At 43.6% G+C, this 22,175-nt stretch overlaps 1 protein-coding gene across 18 annotated transcripts in view; it reads left to right on the forward strand.

Annotated features, from left to right (window-relative positions):
- Nucleotides 1–22,175, forward strand: part of RBM6 (RNA binding motif protein 6) — a 137,100-nt gene that overhangs the window by 96,034 nt on the left and 18,891 nt on the right. For 11 of the 18 annotated variants that reach the window (XM_047447131.1, NM_005777.3, NM_001349191.2 and 8 more), the window contains 3 exons: nt 12,062–12,136; nt 18,152–18,212; nt 21,545–21,820. In XM_047447131.1, the coding sequence (XP_047303087.1) occupies nt 12,062–12,136; nt 18,152–18,212; nt 21,545–21,820 (412 nt within the window). Of the gene's footprint in view, nt 1–10,532; nt 10,651–10,976; nt 11,144–12,061; nt 12,137–18,151; nt 18,219–21,544; nt 21,821–22,175 lie in introns of those variants that run through there. The other 7 variants (NM_001349192.2, XM_047447134.1, XM_047447137.1 and 4 more) reach the window with 5 other exon arrangements.

Below are 22,175 nucleotides of genomic sequence, written 5' to 3' on the forward strand. Positions count from 1 at the left end.
TGCGCCCAGCAGGGTCTCCCTTTTTAAACGTATTTTCTTTTTATAGCCTACAAACTACAAGAGATGCCTTTTAATAAACTGGATGGTATGTCTTAACGTCTGATGGAGTTTAAAGGCATCCAAGGGTTACGTCTGTGATAGATTGCCAAGGCATACAGGTCTGATCAGGAGAGTTTCTTGATGACTAGCTATGGGCTATGCCTTTGTAGCACATGATCCCAACTCCAGCAGGGATATAGTTAGTGACATGCTGGCTTTGTCTTCTCCCTAACTCCTGGATTACTACAAATTTCTTCTTCGTGCAGGAATCATTCCCTCACTCTATACATATCTGCTGTTAAAAAAAAAAAAGTTAAGATATTATAGCCATTATATTGTAGCAGCCATGATATTATAGCTCAGTAAATGCTGCTTTCCAAATATTGGCTAATTTAACCATAGCATGTCTTCAATGTTAGAAGCCAGCCCTCATTTTTATCAAGGGCTGAAGTTTGATAATTCTTTGTGTTATTTGCTTGTGAAAATAAGTAGAACAAAAAGGATTAGGGACCTAACCTTGTATCCCATGTATCCCAGTGAACCTTTTCTGACTTAAAGCTTCCTTTCTTTTTTTTTGGAGATGGGAGTCTTGCTCTGTCGCGAGGCTAGAGTGCAGTGGCGCGATCTTGGCTCACTGCAGCCTCCGCCTCCTGGGTTCAAGTGATTCTCCTGCCTCAGCCTCCCAAGTAATTGGGACTACAGGCTCATGCCACCATGCCCAGCTAATTTTTTTTTTAATTTTTAGTAGAGACGGGGCTTCACCATGTTGGCCAGTATGGTCTCGATCTCTTGACCTCGTGATCCATCCACCTTGGCCTCCCAAAAAGCTTCCATTCTTAGTCTTGGTACTTCTAAGTGGCATTGGGTCAATAGCTTTCTGCCTAAGAAGAGAATTGGCTGGGCATGATGGCTAACACCTGTAATTCCAGCCCTTTGGGAGGCTGTGGCAGGAGGATCATTTGAGCCCAGGAGTTCAAGACCAGCCGGGGCATCATAGGAAGACCCCATGTCTGCATAAAATAAAATAAATTAGCCAGACTTGGTGACATGCACGTATTGTCCCAGCTTGTCAGGAAGCTGAGGTGGGATGATTGCTTGAGCTCAGGAGATCAAGGCTACAATGAGCTATGATCATACAACACCAGTGCACTCTAGCCTGAGTGACAGAGCAAGACCCTGTCTCAAAAAAAGCAGGGGGGCATAGTCACCTCCCTAAAATATTAGTTGAACAGTATGTATTCAGAAGTCCAGAGGCTCTGTATTTTATTAATATTTTCAAGGCACTATTTCTGCAGAAATCAAGTCAGCAAGACTCTTTGAGGACGTTACAGGCAGAGGGGCTAAAGATACCTTTGAGGAAGCTCAAGTACTTGGGTGGGAGGTGATAGATAAAGGGTCAGTAGAAATAATGTCTCTTTTTATTTTTTTTCCCATTAAAAAATTTTGTTTTAATAGCAATGGAGATGGGGTCTCACTGTGTTCCCTGAGCTGGTCTGGTCTCGAGCTCCTGGGTTCAAGCAGTTCTCCCACCTTGACCTTCTAAAGTGTAGGGATTATAGACATGAGCCACCATGCGTGGCAAATTTCTTTTCTTTCCTTTTTTTTTTTTTTTTTTTGAGACAGAGTTTTGCTCTTGTTGCCCAGGCTGGAGTGTGGTGGCACGATCTTGGTTCACTGCACCCTCCACCTCCCAGGTTCAGGTGATTCTCTTGCCTCAGCCTCCTGAGTAGCTGGGATTACAGGCGCCCGCCACCATGCCCGGGTAATTTTTGTATTTTTAGTAGAGATGGGATTTCACCATGTTGGCCAGGCTGGTCTTGAACTCCTGACCTCAGGTGATCCACCCGCCTCAGCCTCCCAAAGTGCTGGGATTACAGGTGTGAGCCACCGCTGCCGGTTCCAATGTCTCTTTTGGATGGTGGATCCTGAAGAATAGCTGCTGGTTCTTTGGGGATGCCTGGGGAATACTGTGCAGGCTTTGTGATGGGCTCAGCAGTGAGGCCTGTACAGTATCTTAGGTCTTGTGGGCCTCAGTCTGCTCTCTTGGCTGTTCTCTACCACCTCCTGCCATTAAGTTTTTAAGAAAAAGGAATAGTTTTATTATATTCTTTGGTAAACAAAGCAAATTAAGAAGCTTTATATTTTCCACATTTATTTACCAAACTCCCTATTTGTTTTTCTCTATAGTGATTCAGTTTAGAGACCTATTCAATGAAGCATGCCTTGATGTTGAATTTAGAGTCTACTTTTTCCAGAAGAAAAGAGCCAGGGAGCTCCAATAGTAGTCATCTCAGAATATAAAAGTGTTATAGAAATGATGTAAATCAGGCCGGGTACAGGGGCTCACGCCTGTAATCCCAGCACTTTGGGAGGCCGAGGCGGGCGGATCATGAGGTCCGGAGATCGAGAACATCCTGGCTAACAGGGTGAAACCCCGTCTCTACTAAAAATACAAAAAAAATCAGCCAGGTGTGGTGGCCGGCACCTGTAGTCCCAACTACTCAGGAGGCTGAGACAGGAGAATGGCGTGAACCCAGGAGGAAGAGCTTGCAGTGAGCCGAGATCGCGCCACTGCACTCCAGCCTAGGCAACAGAGCAAGACTCCGTCCCCAAAAAAAGAAGAAAAAGAAGAAAAGAAATGATGTAAATCAGCTGCCCTTCACTCTGTGTTGAGGTGGGGGATGTCCCTAATTGCAGTAGGAGAGAGCCTCTCTTTTATCTGGGACTAAAAGCCCTTGCCCTACATACCTCATAATTATTTTAGGGTTAACTGATTCAATTGTCAGAAAAGAACAAGCTGTATCTTGTTTCTGTACATATTCTACTTTGTGAGTATTTTTATTTCATTGCTATGTGATTGGAATCAACTCAGGAAAGAGGAAAAAAATAAGATAGAGGTTATAGAATTCTGAATTCTGAAGGGAATTCTGAGAATTATCAGTAAAATATGTCAAAATGTGATATTTTACTTCCACCAAGAATTAGGCCATATCTTTGTGTGAAAATAAATTATTATTATTTATTTATTTATTTTGAGATGGAGTCTCGCTCTTTTCACCCAGGCTGGAGTGCAATCACACAATCTCGGCTCGCTGCAACCTCCACCTCCCAGGTTCAAGCGATGCTCCTGCCTCAGCCTCCCGAGTAGCTGGGATTAGAAGCGCCCATTACCACACCCAGCTAATTTTGTACTTGTAGTAGAGACAGGGTTTCACCATGTTGGCCAGGCTGGTCTCGAACTCCTGACCTCAGGTGATCCACCCCCCCCCCCCCCACCCTTGGTCTCCCAAAGTGCTGGGATTACAGGCATGGGCCACCGCACCCAGCATACGGAAATAAATTATTAACCAGAGAAATTTTGACTAAGGTTTTTATAAATGTTAGGTGAACCATTGCTCTAAAAGATACAAAATTATAACAAGCTGAAAAGTTTTTTAAAAATCTGCATTTTAGTGGTTCAGTTTTTCAGTTGTTCTGAGTGCTAATAGTTGGAGTTTATAAATTGTAAGAAGCAATCTACGGAGATTCTGTGATGAAGGAATTTGTTGAATGCCCTGTCTGCCTCACAGTCTCAGTCTTTATGATAGAGTCTTGTCTTCTCACAAGGAGAGAAAAGATTTGAGGCTCTTTTGATTACTTACTTACTTGCTTATTTATATATTTTGCCTCTTTGTTTTTGCCGCAAATACAAATGTAATGGAACCTTAGAATAGGAGAGACGTGTGGATCCCCTGGTAGGCACTGTTCTTTCTATGTTCCTGGAGCCAAGTTCATGGAATTACCTCCAAGACTACGGATCCCTGGTTTTCTTTCATCATGATAGGAGGCATTTTCTAGAACCTGAATCTTACTTTAAAATGCATGTAAGACCTGCAAGGAGTGGTAGTGAAGTGGGTGGAATATATTCTTAGCACCAGACACCTTTAAAATATTTAAGTTCTCGGCCGGGTGCCCTGGCTCACGCCTGTAATCCCAACACTTTGGGAGGCCGAGGTGGGCAGCTCACGAGGTCAGGAGACCGAGACCATCCTGGCTAACACGGTGAAACCCCATCTCTACTAAAAATACAAAAAATTAGCCAGGCGTGGTGATGGGTGCCTGTAGTCCCAGCTACTCGGGAGGCTGAGGCAGGAAAATTGCATGAACCCGGGAGGCAGAGCTTGCAGTGAGCTGAGATCGCACCACTGCACTCCAGCCTGGGTGACAGAGCAAGGCTCCTTCTCAAAAAAAAAAAAAAAAAAAAAAAAAAATATATATATATATATATATATACACACACACACACACACACACACGTGTGTATATATATACACACACACATGCATATATATATACACACACATGTATATCTATAGATATATACATATATATGTGTATATTTACATTTTCTTATGTCAGGGTCTGGCTTGGAGTGTATTGTGTTCCCAGAGCAGAATTCTTTTTTTTTTTTTTGAGATTGGGTCTTACTTTGTCACCCAGGCTGGAATGCAATGGCGTGAGCTTGGCTCACTGCAGCCTCGACCTCACAGGTTCAAGCAACCCTCCCACCTCAGCCCCTGGAGTAGTTAGGATAACAGGCGCACACTACCATTTTGTATTTTTTGTAGAGGCGGGGTTTTATCACATTGCCCAGGCTGGTCTCGAACTCCTGAGCTCAAGCAATCCACCTGCCTTGACCTCCCCAAATGCTGGGGTTACAGGCGTGAGCCACTGTGCCCAGCCGCAGAGTTCATCTTGAGACCCTGACTTCTGCCAGCTCTGATCCTAGTGGGTGGGGCTCTGGGGCTCAGTGAAACAGTCAGCCGTTTTGCTTCAGAGAACACAAATAAGATTTTGGCTTGATGCTGGTTGTTGCTGGCGTCATATAGTCTAAAACGTTTGCTGTCAAGAACATTTTAGTAAAAGTTTTTGTTGTGCTTTCATCTAGTCAAGAAAAGATAGGAAGTGGCAGCTGACAGGGCAGTGTCTTCATGCCCCTCAACCTTACATTGGACACTGAAGTAGGATTGTGTTTTCACTGGAAGTCCCAGTGGGGCCTTATCTCCTGGATGCTCAAAGTGCAGCTCAGATCCTGTTGGGTAAAAAGTCTAGTCAAAATGGAGGACATGGAGAAGGCCAACAGGCAGAGCTATAGAGCTGACATAGGGCATTCTTTGTACTTCCCTTAGCCACTGTACTTTCTTTCTTCCTCCATCTCCTCCTTCCCTCTTCTATCTCATTTTGGTTTGGCCTTTGGGAATAGTGGGTTTTAAAAAATATTTGAACTATAACATATCCTTGTACCATAAAGAATGAGCCTGACTGCTTTACAAAGGATTTCTATAAAAAGTAATCTTTTATACTAAGAGAAATGACACATCTGTTTTAAACCTGTTACTTTTCTTCCCCGGGCTTTGCTCTTTCTGCAGGTCCGTTTGACATGGTTCTTGAAACTCCTGGTAGCAGCCATTTACTAGTAGCACTCTTTATCTTAGACACAGCACCTAAAGCAATTGTAGGTGTTTTAAGAACAGAAAGCCCATCTTAAGCAGACCAGTTTGAGGGATTGGCAGTGCTGTCAAGAAACAAGGGCTTTGTGGCAGTCTCTCTAAAAACTCCCTATGAGTCCATTTCTTGCAAACTTCTTTAGACTCTACTGTATCTTTTCATCAGAAGCTACCTCTTTGATGTGGGAAGTGTCATGAATGGACTGACTCTCTGGAATTTAAAAACAAAGACAATATGGCAAAAAGAAAACCTGACTTTTAGTACTGTATGTGTTGCTAATTAGCTCTGTATTCTTGGGCAGACTACTCCATGTATCCCAGCCATCCATATGCCCTATTTGTAAGGATCTAATGAGATGATATTGTGAAGAATGCCTTTGTAAACTGTAAATTGCTTTGTGAATAAAGATACTATCTCTGATAAACAGTACCAGTTCTCAGCCACCAATAACCTGATACTCCCATACTGTGTTTGGAAGAAACACAAAACAATGAAGAGTAATTGTGACTTTTCAATGTGAGTTGTATTCACAAAGCTCATATACTTTTTCCCTGCCTTTTGATACTGTTTATCGCTTTCTGTGTTGTAATGGGAAGATCACACAGCAATCATTTTCTCAGTACAAAGTATAACTACAACTGAGCTTGCATTGAAGATCTTTAACAAAGATGCAAAGCTGCTGTCCAGAAATGTTTTCTTTCCATTTTCTCTTGTACCTCCCAGTATTTTAAGAATCCTTGAGGCTGGGCACCATAACTCACGCCTGTAATCTCAACACTTTGGGAAGCTGAGGCAGGAGGATCACTTGGGCCCAGGAGTTTGAGACCAGCCTGGGCAACATAGTGAGACCCCCATCTCTACAAAAAAATTTAAAAATTAGCTGGGCATGGTGGTGTGCACCTGTGGTCTCAGCTACTTAGGGAGGCTGAGGTAGGAGGATTGCTTGAGCCTGGGAGGTCAAGGCTGCAGTCAGTCATGATTGCACCACTGTGCTCTATCTAGCCTCCAACCTGGGCAACAGAAGCGAGACCCTGTCTTTTTTTTAAAAAAAAAAGACTATCCTTGATGATTGGTTTTGAGCCAACGGAATGGGAGCATATGGTAGAGTTTCAACACTCTGACCCTAGTCCTTCTGACAGGCAGTCACAAAATGAGATCATGAAGTCTCTAAGAGCAGCTGATGAAAAAGGAAATGGGAATGTAGATGTTCAATCAGCAGCCCTCCAGACCCAGAGTTTGCTCCTCTGTGGTGTCTCTAGGTGGAGAATAAGGACTTGATTTGCCATTCTGGAGTGCAAATATCTAGCTTTTTGCAGCTTCATATTAAGATTTCTTGAAATGTACTTAGTAATATCCATGTGTGACTTTGCCAAGTGATGGCTTTGGGCTGGAAAGGATTTTAGCAGGTTTTAGTCTAATTTAAGCCTAATCTAACACTGCTGAGAAAGGAGGAGATGTCTTTGGTTTTACTTTCTAATATATGGTACCTCTTAGCCGGGTGCAGTGGCTCATGCCTGTAATCCCAGCACTTCGGGAGGCCGAGGCAGGCGATCACTTTAGGCCAGGAGTTCAAGACCAGCCTGGCCAACATGGTGAAACCCCATCTCTACTAAAAATACAAAAATTATCCCGGTGTAGTGGCGCACACCTGTAATCCCAGCTACTTGGGAGGCAGAAACAGGAGAATCGCTTGAACCTGGGAGGCAGAGGTTGCAGTGTGCCAAGATCATGCCACTGCATGCCACTCCAGCCTGGGCAACAGAGCAAGACCCTGTCTCAAAAAAAAAAAAGAGAGATCTATCTCTCTTCTTTTTATATACATATACATATACATACATACATACATATATGTATGTACACACATATATATATATGGCCCCTCTTTTTTTATTTGAGTCGGAATCTGGCTCTCTTGCCAGGCTAGAGTGCAGTGGCATGATCTTGGCTCACTGCAACCTCTGACTTCCTGGTTCAAACGGTTCTCCTGCCTCAGCCTCCCGAGTAGCTGGGATTACAAGCATGTGCCACCACACCCAGCTCACTTTTGTATTTTTAGTAGAGACGGGATTTCACCATGTTGGCAGGGATGGTCTTGATCTCCTGACCTTGTGATCCTCCCACCTCAGCCTCCCAAAGTGCTGGGATTACAGGCATGGGCCACCGTGCCCAGCCTTTTTTTTTTTTTTTTTAAAGAGACGGAGTCTCACTCTGTCACCCAGGCTGGAGTGCAGTGGCGTGATCTTGGCTCAGTGCAACCTCCACCTCCCGGGTTCTAGCAATTCTGCCTCAGTCTTCCGACTGGCTGGGACTGCAGGTGTATATCACCGCAACCAGCTAATTTTTTGTATTTTAGTAGAGACAGGGTTTCACTGTGTTGCCCAGGCTGGTCTCGAACTGAGCTCAGGCAGTCCACCCGCCTCGGCCTCCCAAAGTGCTAGGATTACAGGCGTGAGCCACCGTGCCTGGCCTATATGGTACCTCTTTAGGAGCCAGACCTGGTTAATCAGACACATGGCTTTCATGACTCCTTTGCTTGAGTAGCTTAATAACTCAATAAATCAAAAGATGAATAAATATTCTAATGTGTGAAGATACTCTAATAGATAATAGGCAATTAAGAATGGACATCCACGGCTGGGCGCTGGGGCTCATGCCTGTAATCCCAGCACTTTGGGAGGCTGAGGCGGGTGGATCATGAGGTCAGGAGGTAGAGCCCATCCTGGCCAACATGGTGAAACCCCATCTCTGCTAAAATACAAGCTACTCGAGAGGCCGAGGCAGGAGAATTGCTCGAACTTGGGAGGCGGAGGTTGCAGTGAGCCAAAATCGCATCACTGCACTCCAGCCTGGCGACAGAGCGAGACTCCGTCTCAAAAAAAAAAAAAAAGAATGGACATCTACTGAAGGTGATTGCATCATCCTACCCATTCATTAATCTAACTCCCTACAGGATACTTTCCTAGGAGACACTGACAGGTCTGTTTTCTGAAATCCAGAGAAAGGCAGCAATGGGGAGGGGTGCAGTGTATGTATGTCATACCTGTGCTTGGTATATCTGAGTTGCCTGTGTATGATAGCAGCTGGGGAATCAAATCATAGATAAATTGTTCTCATACAGGTTTGTCCTATGACTACCTATTCTTATTAAACAATTGGCTATATTGACCCTTTTTGGTTTTGGAAAAATAATAATAATTTTTTTAAGAGAGAAAAAGAAACAATTGGCTACCCTTCAACAGTGATGTTAAAACCATTTCACATTCTTTAGCAGTGGTCACTGTCCTATGTCTAACTATGTGCAGGTTGAGAAAAAGGACTGCCCGAGTTATAGATGATTCTGTGAGAATAAGAAATCATTGCTTTTGTAACACATGAGGTAAAAGTAATCTCAAAGTTGACATGCTGATGGGGACTCCTGGCAAGGGGAGTTCCCTGCCCTCAACAAAAGGTCATCCACAGCTACTGGAACATTTTTGTTGTCTGAGAAGTATAAAGTGCCTTAGAAATACCTGAATCCATTAATGCCTCCAGTTGGTGAAATCAGAATTTGCAGGTGACTGAAATTGACAGTAGTGCCTTGTTCTTACTCACTGTTCAAATGACAACCCACATGTTTTATGGATTGGGTATACAGATGTATGCTCTAACAGCAGTATCTCCCTCCAGAGCCACTGTGTACCAAGCACCAGGTCCTCCAGGGATAGTTGGCTCTATTCAGTCTTTGATTCATTCAACAAGAGCTTACTAAGCTCCTTTTTGGTACCAGATACTCTTTGTTGCTGAAAATAAATAAAAGGCCAGCAAGATTAAGTAGACTGTGAGATCTGGACCAGTAATTTGACAACACAAAGTACTGTCGTAAAGATACAGTTTCTGATGTGTAGTGACCATTCCGTATGAAAGCTTAGTCTTTCAGGAGATTAAAATGGGTGGTGGAATATTCCTACCTAGCAAGCAAGCAAGGTGAAATGAGTGGCTGTTTGACTCCCACCTGCTGATGCTGGTCTTTTTTGGTTCCTAGGGCTTATAATGATCAACATTTCTTGAGCCCTCACTATATTCTATGCTAAGCTCTTTACATGTATGAATTTACTTAATCTTCACAACCACCCTAAGAAATAGGTACTGTTGTCCTTACTTTACAGATGAGGAAATGGAAGCACAAAGAAGTTAAGGACCTTGCTGAAGGTCATGGAGTAGAGGCAGGATTCAAATTTAGGGAACTCAGCCTACAGTCCATGCTCTTAAAGATGTTATATCCTGTCTCTGGGCTTAGAAGGGGTTCATCTTAGGCCGGACACAGTGGCTCACGTCTGTAATCCCAGCACTTTGGGAGGCCAAAGCGGGCAGATCACGAGGTCAGGAGTTCGAGACCAGCCTGACCAACATAGTGAAACCCCATCTCTACTAAAAATACAAAAATTAGCCAGGCATGGTGGTGTGCGCCTGTAGTCCCAGCTACTCGGGAGGCTGAGGCAGGAGAATTGCTTGAACCTGGGAGGCGGAGGTTGTGGTGAGCCGAGATCGTGCCACTGTACTTGAGAGTGAGTGACAGAGCAAGACTCTGTCTCAAAAAAAAAAAAAAGACGGCCAGGCGCAGTGGCTTACGCCTGTAATCCCAGCACTTTGGGAGGCCGAGGTGGGCGGATTACCTAAGGTTGGGAATTCGAGACCAGCCTGACCAACGTGGAGAAACCCCGTCTCTACTAAAAATACAAAATTAGCCAAGCGTGGTGGCATATATCTATAATCCCAGCTACTCGGGAGGCTGAGGCAGGAGACTCGCTTGAACCTGGGAGGCGGAGGTTGCAGTGAGCCGAGATCACGCCATAGCACTCCAGCCTGGGCAACAAGAGCGAAACTCTGTCTCAGGGAAAAAAAAAAAAAAAAAAGGAGGGGGCGCTTCATCTTGACTAACTTCCTGCATTGGTGGAGCTTGATAGAGTGGTCCTTCCCAGATCCTTCCCTGCATACAGAGCCTGTCTCTTTTCTGATTGGTCCCTAAGGCCAGATTACCTGTCCCTAATACTGAGCAGAAGCTGGTGAATGAAACAGGAGATCCCTCAGTCAAAACAAAAGGAAAAAGAAAAATGAAACAGGAGATCCCTTCTCTACAGCCCAGATGTAAGTCCAGCTGTGCCCTTCACCACCTGGGTGACCCCACCTCTGTGAACATAGGTCCTCATCTGTAAAGTGTAGATAATGTTATTTCATCGGATCATTTAGGGGATTAAATAAGATAATGTACTTCGTGGTTTCTGGCTCTTAGTAAGTGCTTAATAAATGTTAGCGATTTTTATTATCATTGTCCTTAGCCTTGAGAACAAGCCAGGGAATAGTGTCTCAGACCAGATGCTAAGACCTAGGTAGATGGGCAATTTTCCTTGGTTTTGACAAGACAATAATTTTATCCTGTGTATTTCTCTTGACTTTTTTGATGTGAAAAGCAGAGAGGTAAAGCATTATTTGACAGATGTATGGATTCAAGCAAGAAACTGAGGTCCAATTGCAAAGAAATGGCTTGTATAACTCAGAGCCCTGTCTGAGGAAACACAGAGGACCCTAGAGGGCGGAGAATGAACACAGCGCAGGGGCTAGTTCCAGAGTCGCATTCTCGGTTAGTTCACTTTCAAGTGTGGGTGAGGGTCCCTTGTCAGTAGGCAGAGAATTTTTTTCCCCTGCACCAACACATACCTGCTGCCTAGTGTTTATTAAACAAAACTTTATTTTAATGTGAAATAGAATTCATGACTTGTCCAAAATGGAGAGGCAAGGGAGCTCTTTAACAGGCTTGTTGAGCCCCTTTTCCCACCTGTTCCTGTGCCAGACTTTCCCAAAGGCTTACTTGCCAATGGTTGCTCCTCAGATCTCAGGGCTAGCTCACTCTATAGGCTCCAAGCCAGAGTGATACCGCCGCCGCCGCTGTTGCTCCCACCAGCCAATCAGTTTCCTGCTGTAAGGATGTAACTTGCTGTGAAGCTTTCACCTTCCTCCTTTCTTCCTGTCTTCAATGTTGTATGTCTTTGTCCTGGTGCTTTTGCCATACAGCCAGTGTTTCAAAGAAAATTTTCAGGCACTAAAGTTATAGCCCTTACTACCTTTCCAAGGAGATGTGAGATAGCTGTGGAAAAGAAGAGGGCTCCTCTGCCTCTGTGCAGAAGGAACAGTTTACTTCTTGATAGTGTGCTAGCTCCTGAGCTAGGTGGGGGACTTGCTGGGATTCAAGAGAGTGCATTACCTGACCTCTGGACAAGTAGACTGGGCATAGCCTGCCCAAGGACAGCACCCTAACCTGCAGGAACCAAGGCCGAAGACTGATTTCACCTTCTCGTACTCCCCTTTCCTAAGCTAAAGCTTGCTCTGTAACACTGCCCCAGGTCTGTGGCTTAAAACAGCCATTTCCTTTCACCAGTGAATTAAGCTCACTCTTTATAAAATGTTTCAGCTTGGGGATTGGAAAGGCTCTCTGTGCCTTTCTGTCTCTGTCTGTTTCTCCAAGGGTTGATGTTGATGGCTTCTGTCTTTGTCTTTACAGGGAACTCTAATGATCCAGGACAAAGAAGTTACCCTGGAGTATGTATCAAGCCTGGATTTTTGGTACTGCAAACGAGTAAGTACCAAGAATCCCTTTCTTTAGAAGTAAGTATCTGGAATAACAGCTCCTCCATATCTCTAGGAAGGCTGCCTGCTAACATGCATTCCCAAGGACAAAGCTCTTCTTCCTCAGGTCACTTCAGTTGAACAGGAGGAGGTCAAGACAAGGTCATTCATAATTTCTCCTTCCCAGCTGCTACATGTGGCCATAGAGAGTTCTGGACCTGCAATTGGAGACACTTTCCCAAGGACATGTGCCATTATTTCTATCAGTTATAAAAATAACAGTTCCTTGACATATAATATCTTCTCACCTCTCCTGGGGGTGGTCATAAAGGAATTCTTGGTTGGAAAAGTAGGTTTGGAGAGACTAGTTCTTTGGGAGTCGTACATTTTTTGGATATTCTTGGGTTTCCAAGGGTATAGAACTTCAGACACCATGGCATTTTACCTCTATTAAACTCCATATTCTCTTAGAGTGGGATATTTAAAATTTTAGGCTATACTCTTTTTTTTTGAAACGGAATCTCATTCTGTTGCCCAGGCTAGAGTGCAATGGCGTGATTTCCACTCACTACAACCTCTGGCTCCTGGGTTCCAGTGATTCTGCTGCCTCAGCCTCCCGAGTAGCTGGGATTACAGGCACTTGCCACCTCACCTGCCTGATTTTTGTATTTTTAGTAGAGATGGGGTTTCACCATGTTGGCCAGGCTGGTCTTGAACTCCGACCTCAAGTGATCCACCTGCCTCAGCCTCCCAAAGTGCTGGGATTATAGGCATGAGCCACCGCGCTGGCCTGTTTATTTATTTATTTATTTATTTTGAGACAGAGTCTTGCTCTGTCGCCCAGGCTGGAGTGCAGTGGCGCGATCTCAGCTCACTACAACCTCTGCCACCCGGGTTCAAACGATTCTCCTGCCCCAGCCTCCCGAGTAGCTAGGATTACAGTTGTGTGCCACCATGCTCAGCTAATTTTTTTGTAGTTTTTAGTAGAGATGGGGTTTCACCATCTTGGCCAGGCTGGTCTTGAACTCCTGACCTCATTATCCACCCACCTCGGCCTCCCAAAGTATTGAGATTACAGGCTTGAGCCACGGCACCCAGCCGGCTATACTCTTTAAAGGTCCAGTTTGATTGCAGTGAGCATGAAAATATAATTTGTTTTCATTGCTACTACTTAGTATCAAAAATAATTATGAAAAATATATAAAGTTTCTGAGCCCCGACACACTAAAAATGTTACAGTACTTGAAAAAATTTAGTAAAGACTTTAGCTTGACATTTGTTAGTCTCGGTAGAATTGACATTGTGTTAGTCTCGGTAGAATACAACTTGAAGAGCTATGATTGTTATTAGCCAAAGTACTCATATTTCATGGATATACTCCCTTATGGTGTCATTTTAGGAAGATATTTCGTTTCCTTTTATTGAGATAAAATACATGTAACATTACATTTGCCATTTTAACCATTTTGAAGCATTAATTCAGTGACATTAAGTACCTTCACAATGTTGTGCAGCTATCAACACTACTTCCTAGAACTTCTTTTTTTTTTTTTTTTAAATAAGAGATGGGATCTCACTATGTTGCCCAGGCTGGTCTCACAGTCCCTGGCTCAAGTCATCCTCTCACCTCAACCTCCCAAATAGCTGGGACTATAGGTGCCATCATGTCCAGGTTAGTTCCAGAAATTTTTTTTTTCTGTCTTTTTTTTGAGACAGGATCTCACTCTTGTTTCTCAAGCTGGAGTACAGTGATGTGATCATGGCTCACTGTACCCTTGACCTCCTGTGCTCAAGCGATCCTCTCACCTTGGCCTCCCGAAGTTCTGGGATTACAGGTGTGAGCTGCCATATCTAGCCTCAGATCTTTTTTAAACCCTCAAAAGGAAACCTCTTATCATTAATCAGTAACTTCCCACTTCTTCTTCCCCCAGTCCCCAGAAACCATTAATCTTTTTTCTATCTCCATGGATTTGCCTATTCCGGATATTTCATATAAATGGAATCAAAATATGTAAACTTTTCTGTTGGCCTTTCACCTAGCATGTTTTCAGAGTTCATGTATGTTGCAGTATTTATCAGTACCTCATTTCTTTTTGTGGCTAAATAATATGAATATATCACATTTTGTTCATCCATTCCTCAATTGATGGACATTTGGGTTGTTTCTACCCTGACTTTGGTGAATAATAGAACCTTTGTGTGCTAGTTTTTGTTTGAACAGCTGTTTTCAGTTATTTGGGGGTATGTATCCAGGAGTGGAATTGCTGAGTCATATGGTAATTTTATATTTAACTCTTTGAGGAACCATCAAACTGTATTTCTTTTATTTTATTAGCAAACCTTTTCATAGACCACAGCTGTACCATTTTATATTCCAGCAATATGTAAGGGCTTCATTTCTCCACCTGCTTGCCAACATTTGTTCTTTTCCCTTTATTTGATAATAGCCATCCTAATGGGTATGAAATAATATCTCATTGTGGTTTTGATTTGCATTTTCCTAATGACTTTGAGGGTTTTTTTTCATGTGTTTGTTGGCCATTTGTATACCTCCTTTGGAGAAATGTTCAACCAAGTCCTCTGCCCTTTGGAATTGATTTGCATGTATTTTTGTTGTTGAGTTATAAGAGTACTTTATATTTTCTGGATATTAATCCCTTATCAGATATATGATTTATAAATATTTTCTATGTGTTATCTTTCACTTTCTTGAGAGTATCCTTTCTAAAGAAAAAAAAAGAGAGAGAGAGAGATAAGGTGTGGCTCATGGCTGTAATCCCAACACTTTGGGAGGCTAAAGTGGGCAGATCACTTGAGCCCAGGAGTTCGAGACCAGCCTGGGCAACATGGCAAAACCCCATCTCTACAAAAAATACAAAATTTAACTGGGTGTGGTGGTGCATGCCTATGATCGCGGCTACTAAGCAGGCTGAGGTGGGAGGATCACCTGAGCCCAGGAGGTCGAGGCATCAGTGAGCTATGATAGTGCCACTGTACTTCAGTACTCCATCCTGGGTGACAGAGCAAGACCTTGTCTCAAAATTTTTTTTAGCTGGGTGTGGTGGCTCACGCCTATAATCCCAGCACTTTGGGAGGCCGAGGCAGGCGGATCATCTGAGGTCGGGAGTTGGAGATCAGCCTGACCAACATGGAGAAACCCCATCTCTATTAAAAATACAAAGTTAGCTGGGCATGGTGGCACATGCCTGTAATCCCAGCTACTTGGGAGGCCGAGGCAGGAGAATCACTTGAACCTGGGAGGCAGAGGTTGCGGTGAGCTGAAATTGCACTATTGCACTCCAGCCTGGACATCAAGAGTGAAACTCCATCTCAAAAACAAAAAAGAAAAATTTTAAGTTTATTATGTACCTATTAAAATTTTTTTGTAATTAAAACAAATGCTAATGGCGGTATTATTCATAATAGCCAAAAAATGGAAATAACCAAAATGTCCATTGGCTGATGGATGGATGAACAAGTTGGCATATCCATACAATGAAATGCTATTTGACAATGAAAAGGAATGAAGTACTGATGCATGTTACAACCTAGATGAACCTTGAAAATACTATGCCAGACACAGAAGACCATACATTGCACAATTCCATGTCCCTAGGGGTAAGAATGGGGGAGGTAACTCCACTAGATTTCTTTTGGGGTGATGAAAATGTTTCAGAATTAGATTATGGTGATGGTTGCACTATACATTTACTAAAAATCATTGAATTGTACACATAAAATAGGTAAACTTTATGGGGTTTGTTTTTGTTTTTAAGAGAGAGTCTTGGTTTGTCACCCAGGCTGGATTGCAGTGGCACAATCTCGGCTCACGACAACCTCCACCTCCCAGGTTCAAGTGATTCTCGTGCCTCAGCCTCCCAAGTAGCTGGGATTACAGGCGTGTGCCACCATCCCCAGCTAATTTTTGTATTTTTAATAGAGATGAGGTTTCTCCATGTTGGCTAGGCTGGTCTTGAACTCCTGGCCCGAAATGATCCAACTTCCTCGGCCTCCCAAAGTACTGGGATTACTGGCATGAGCCATCATGCCAGGCCTGTTTTATGCTATTTAAATTATACCTACTAAGGTTAGGATCCTAACTGCCACTCACTAACTGAAGTGTCACATACTTTATTCGTTGGCATGTATATACTCAGTTGTCCCAGCACCATTTGTTGAAGAGACTATTCTTTCCCCATTGGCACTTTCCCCATTGTTAGAAATCAGTTGACCATAATCTATAGGTTTATTCCTAGATTCTCAGTTTTATTCTGTTGATCTATATGTTTACAAATAGCACCAGTTACCACAGCAGCTCTCCTGTAGTAACAACTCTCCAATCCCAGTAGCTTAAAACAGCAAGCATATTCTTCACTCACATTACATGTCAGGGACTATGGGTTGTTTGCTACAGTTCTGTTCCACGTGGCTTCTCATCCCAGGACCCAGGCGGAAGAAACAGTCTCAATATGGGGCAGTGTCCCTCTGGCTAAGGGAGAGAGAGGTTCATTCACGCAAGCAGTGGCTCCTAAGGCTTCTCTTAGACCTAGTGTAGGTCATGTTCACTCATGTTTTATTGGTGAAAGCAAGGAAGGCACATGGCCAAGGCTGACAATGGAGAGAGGAAGTATACTCACCCTGTGGGAAGGCATAACAGCCATTTGGCAGTGGGCAGGGGTGTGTGTGTGTGTGTGTGTGTGTGTGTGTGTGTGTGTGTGTGTGTGTGTTTATAATCTGTTTATAGGGAAGGGAACAATGAAATAACTGACTGTAGTGATCTTCCTCAAGTGAGTTAACCTCTCTAGGCCTCAGTTTCCTCATCTACAAAATGAGGAGATAAGAGTACCCATTTCATGAAGTTTATTGGGGTTGTCAGGATCAATAAGTGATGACATATACAGTAGGCCAAATACATGGTATGTACTATTTAAGAATTAGCCGGCTGGGCGCAGTGACTCACACCTATAATCCCAGCAATTTGGGAGGCCGAGGCGGGCAGATCACCTGAGGTCGGGAGTTCGAGACCAGCCTGACCAACATGGAGAAACCCTGCCTCTACTAAAAATACAAAATTAGCCAGGTGTAGTGGCACATGCCTGTAATCCCGGCTACTCGGGAGGCTGAGGCAGGAGAATCGCTTGAACCCGGGAGGTGGAGGTTGTGGTAAGCCGAGATCATGCCGTTGCACTCCAGCCTGGGCAACAAGAGTGAAACTCCGTCTCAAAAGAAAAAAAAAAAAAGAATTAGCCACTGCTACTATTGTTATTGTTTTCTCCTCAACTCCATCTGGCAGACCTTTACTCGCCCTATAAGGCCCTCCTCAAATACCATCCTCTTTATAGTTCTTACTCTTTTATTTCCTGCCAACCAAGTTTCTGCCCCCATGGCATTTGGAAGCTCAGTGGCAAAAGTTCAGGGATTTCGGGGTTGGGCAGTGTGCTTGACTTTTTGTTCACATGTTCAGACAAAAATAATTACATTCACATTAAAAATGTCTCTTACCTTATTCTGGGCTAGTGAATGTTCCCTTTCAATGTCTTTTAGATAGCTGCCAGAGACACTATCTGTATCTCTTCCTCCTACCTTGTACCTCATTATCAGTGTTTGAGAAAGGAGTTGATAACTGAATTCTCAGTTCTAGCCAAATGTGAATGGGGATCTCATAGTCAGTTCAGGCCCAAGTTTTGGGTGCAGACTGTAAATGGCTTTGGGACAATAATATTCTATAAACCATGTAACAGTAGTTTTCTAGGCATATTTCCTATAGGAATCTTTATCCAGGGCAAAGGCATTTGGGCTGCACCAAAGTCCCAGATGCCTTGTTATAAGGTAGCTCTCAAACAGTAGCTCATCAGATCCCATCTGCCAGCTCTAATCAGTGGGGAATATCAGATTCTTTTTTTAAGCTTTGAGGGGATCTGGGATATGGCTTGTTTCTTTCATTTTTGGGGGGTTTCACTTTGTTAGATATACATAAGATTTTTAAAAATGTTTTCAGTCAAATTGATTTCCTTCTTCCTTACAGTGTAAGGCAAACATTGGTGGGCACCGATCTTCCTGTTCATTCTGCAAGAACCCAAGAGAAGGTGAGTGGCGAAAGTGGTAGCAGTTTTTATCTCGTGCATTGAGCAAAACAAATTTCATGTTTTCCTTGGCTTTGAAGAATTATCATCCCTAAATCCAAGTTGATCTACAAACCTTTTTTTTTTTTTTTGAGATGGAGTCTCGCTGTGTTGCCCAGGCTGGAGTGCAGTGGCACCATCTTGGCTCACTGCAACCTCCAGCTCCCAGGTTCAAGCGATTCCCCTGCCCTAGCCTCCTGATTAGCTGGGATTCCAGGCATGTGCCACCACGCCCTGTAGCCCGGCTAATTTTTTTGTATTTTTAGTAGAGACGGGGTTTCACCATGTTGGTCAGGCTGGCCTTGAACTCCTGACCTTGTGACCCGACCCACCTTGGCCTCCCATAGTGCTGGGATTACAGGTGTGAATCACTGCACAAGGCCTGCAAACCTTTATTTATTTATTTATTTTTGAGACAGAGTCTCGTACTCACCCAGGCTGGAGTGCAGTGGCGCAATCTCGGATCACTGCAAGCTCCGCCTCCCAGGTTCACGCTGTTCTCCTGCCTCAGCCTCTCTAGTAGCTGGGACTATAGGCGCCCACCACCATGCCCAGCTAATTATTTGTATTTTAGTAGAGACGGAGTTTCACCGTGTTAGCCAGGATGGTCTCGATCTCCTGACCTCGTGATCTGTCTGCCTCAGCCTCCCAAAGTGCTGCGATTACAGGCGTGAACCACCACGACCGGCCCAAACCTTTCAAAAGTGCAATTTGAGCTAGGCATGGTGGCTAACGCTTGTAATCCCAGCACTTTGGGAGGCCAAGGCAGGTGGATCACCTGTGGTCAGGAGTTCAAGACCAGCCTGACCAACATGCCGAAACCCTGTCTCTACTAAAATTACAAAAATTAGCCACAGGTGTGGTGGCACATGCTTGGAATCCCAGCTCCTTGGGAGGCTGAGACACTAGAATCGCTTGAACCCAGGAGTCAGAGGTTGCAGTGAGCTGAGATCTCGCCACTGCACTCCAGCCTAGGCAACAGAGTGAGAAAAAAAAAATTGCAGTTTGGTGCCCAACTTAACGTAACCTGTTAGTAAATGATTTCAGATCTTATTTTCACCAGAGGAAAGAGATAGGGTTGTGGGCTCCTAGGCTAAAGTGGCTAAGTGGGCAGCTGAGCAGAGGTCAGTATATTGTTATTTGGAATACATTTAAGGATTAAGGATGTTAGGTTGAAAAAGAGTCTTTATGACATCAGTCTGTGTGGCAAACCTTTCTCCCACTCCTACTTCTTTGAAGTTATTGGGAATCATTTGCTCTATTGTTTTCTCTTTTACATTCTGTAAGCATTTCAGGATTTTCAAGAGAAAAACATTTGTTAAAATAACAGTAAAAACATAAATAGGAGAAAATAATCAGGATGTGGGGAACATTTTATTATTTTAGAGGAATAAAACTACCAGCTTCTCAAGCACTTATCTTTAATGTAAATTTCTTTAGAGAAATTTCAGGTAGGCAACTTCGAAGAGTCAGACACATGCATCCATAACAACAGTCCTGTAGTCATCCCTTAAGGAAAGCCACAGCATGACCATAAAATATAGTTCAGTGCAGGGATTCAGGTAGCCTTCTGTTTGTTGCAAGGTTAGAGTTTAATGTGCCTACAAGGAGTTTCTTAGGTGGGCTTTTGTCCTCTTGTGGAGATTTTACTCTGGTGAAGACTGAAAGGCAGGTGTTCTGAAAATCTTTAGGGGAAGGCTGTGTATGTTCTAGAAACCAAACCAAAATGTGGGAAGGAGGATGAACAACTGAGATTTTTGCTTGTTAGGTCACTTCAGGTTAGGCAAAGTTGTGTTTTTTTCCCCCCACAAGAAACACTTTTTTTCAAAGCTATTCCAGCAAATGAATAGATAGTTTTTTGTTTTTTTTCTTTTTTTTTTTGAGACGGAGTCTTGCTCTGTCACCCAGGCTGAAGTGCAGTGGCGCAATCTCGGCTCACTGCAAGCTCTGCCTCCCAGGTTCACGCCATTCTCCTGCCTCAGCCTCCCAAGTAGCTGGGATTACAGGCACCCGCCACCGTGCCCAGCTAATTTTTTGTATTTTCAGTAGAGACAGGGTTTCACTGTGTTAGCCAGGATGGTCTCGATCTCCTGACCTCGTGATCTGCCCGCCTCAGTCTCCCAATGTGCTGGGATTACAGGCGTGAGCCACCGCTCCCGGCCATGAATAGATAGTGTATGAAAACCACTGGGCACCATACCACTAAGATGAGACAGCTTTAATCTGGAAACCTGTCACTGCTATTATGTAATCTCTATATTGCTCTCATATAATACCTCTTTTTGAGCCACATGGATTCCAGTGAACCCTCCAAGAATGAATTAGTTACAAGAATGTGCCCCTAATTATAAAACAAACTATAAAGACAAATTATCCTGCTGTAGTAGGACATTTGAAATAAATCATTTATATTTTGAAGGACGTCTGCCCATTATGTTTATTTGCATATAAAGGAGCTACGTGCAGATAGGGTCTGTTCCTAGCTTCACTGGAGGAGGGCCTGTGGTCTTACAGGATATGAGTAGCTGTTTGAGCACTGTAACACTGGAAGAAGCAAGGCTTCTAGATGTGTGTTTGGGATATGTGTTTCTACTAAACCTTAAGTAAGGGCCATATCTTCGGTAATTTTGTCCCCAGATGTGTTGTTATCATTGATTATGATAGTCAGGTTCAAGGTGTCATGAAGGATTTGTTATATTTAAATGTTTAGTAGGTGATATAGAGATTTCATAAGATTACATTTTTTAAATGCTTGGATAGTTTCTTCTGTGAACTATTTCATGTCCTGTCTCAGCTTCACTTAAAATATTTTGTCAGGAACTGTCAGAGGACTTTTTATTAGATATTTCTGAGATAATATTAAAAGCATTCCAGGCCGGGCGTGTTTGCTCACACCTGTAATCCCAGCACTCTGGGAGGCCGAGGCAAGTGGATCACCTGAGGTCAGGAGTTCGAGACCAGCCTGGCCAACATGGTGAAACCTCGTTTCTACTAAAAATACAAAAAATTACCTGGGCGTGGTGGTGGGCACCTGTGATCCCAGCTACTCTGAAGGCTGAGGCAGGAGAATCGCTTGAACCCGGGAGGCAGAGGTTGCAGTGAGCCAAGATCATGCCATTGCACTTCAGCTGGGCAACAAGAGCAAAACTCCGTCTCAAAAAAAAAAAAAAAAAAAAAAGGCATTCCAGTATGAGTATTTGCTGGCAGGTAAGGAGAAATTACAGTAGCAGTGTTTTTTCTTTTTTTTTTTTTTTGATAAAGCTTTCTAGAGATTCTCTTTGTTTCTGTTCCACTAGTGACAGAGGCCAAGCAAGAATTAATAACCTACCCTCAGCCTCAGAAAACATCCATACCAGCACCATTGGAAAAACAGCCCAACCAGCCCCTAAGACCAGCTGATAAGGAACCTGAACCCAGGAAGAGGGAAGAAGGCCAAGAGTCACGCTTAGGACATCAAAAGAGAGAAGCAGAAAGGTATCTGCCTCCTTCTCGAAGGGAAGGGCCAACTTTCCGAAGAGACCGAGAGAGGGAGTCATGGTCTGGAGAGACACGCCAGGATGGAGAGAGCAAAAGTAAGTAGTTTGTCAGGGCACATACCAGACTGTGATCATCACAATGGAGCATAGATGGCCAATGTTATGTCCGGGAGCTATCTGCTTTCCAGTACCCTGAGAGATCTGTGCATGACCTGATGACAGAGGCCATTGCTGTCTGTGGACCTTCCTGTACTGCTTAAAGGAATCTATGCCCTTCAAATAGTAAATTGCTATATGAATGCAGTAAGGCATGATTTTAGATTTCTAAGTATTGGTGAAGAAAAGTATGCAGTATTTATTTGTTTAGCATTTTTTTACAGAACCAGCCTTGCTAGTAGCATCTATAGTAAAAAATGACAGTCAGATTCTTGGGACTTCAAAAATTTATCTT

Source organism: Homo sapiens, chromosome 3 (assembly GCF_000001405.40).
Source record: "Homo sapiens chromosome 3, GRCh38.p14 Primary Assembly".
NCBI classification, from domain to species: Eukaryota; Metazoa; Chordata; class Mammalia; order Primates; family Hominidae; genus Homo; species Homo sapiens.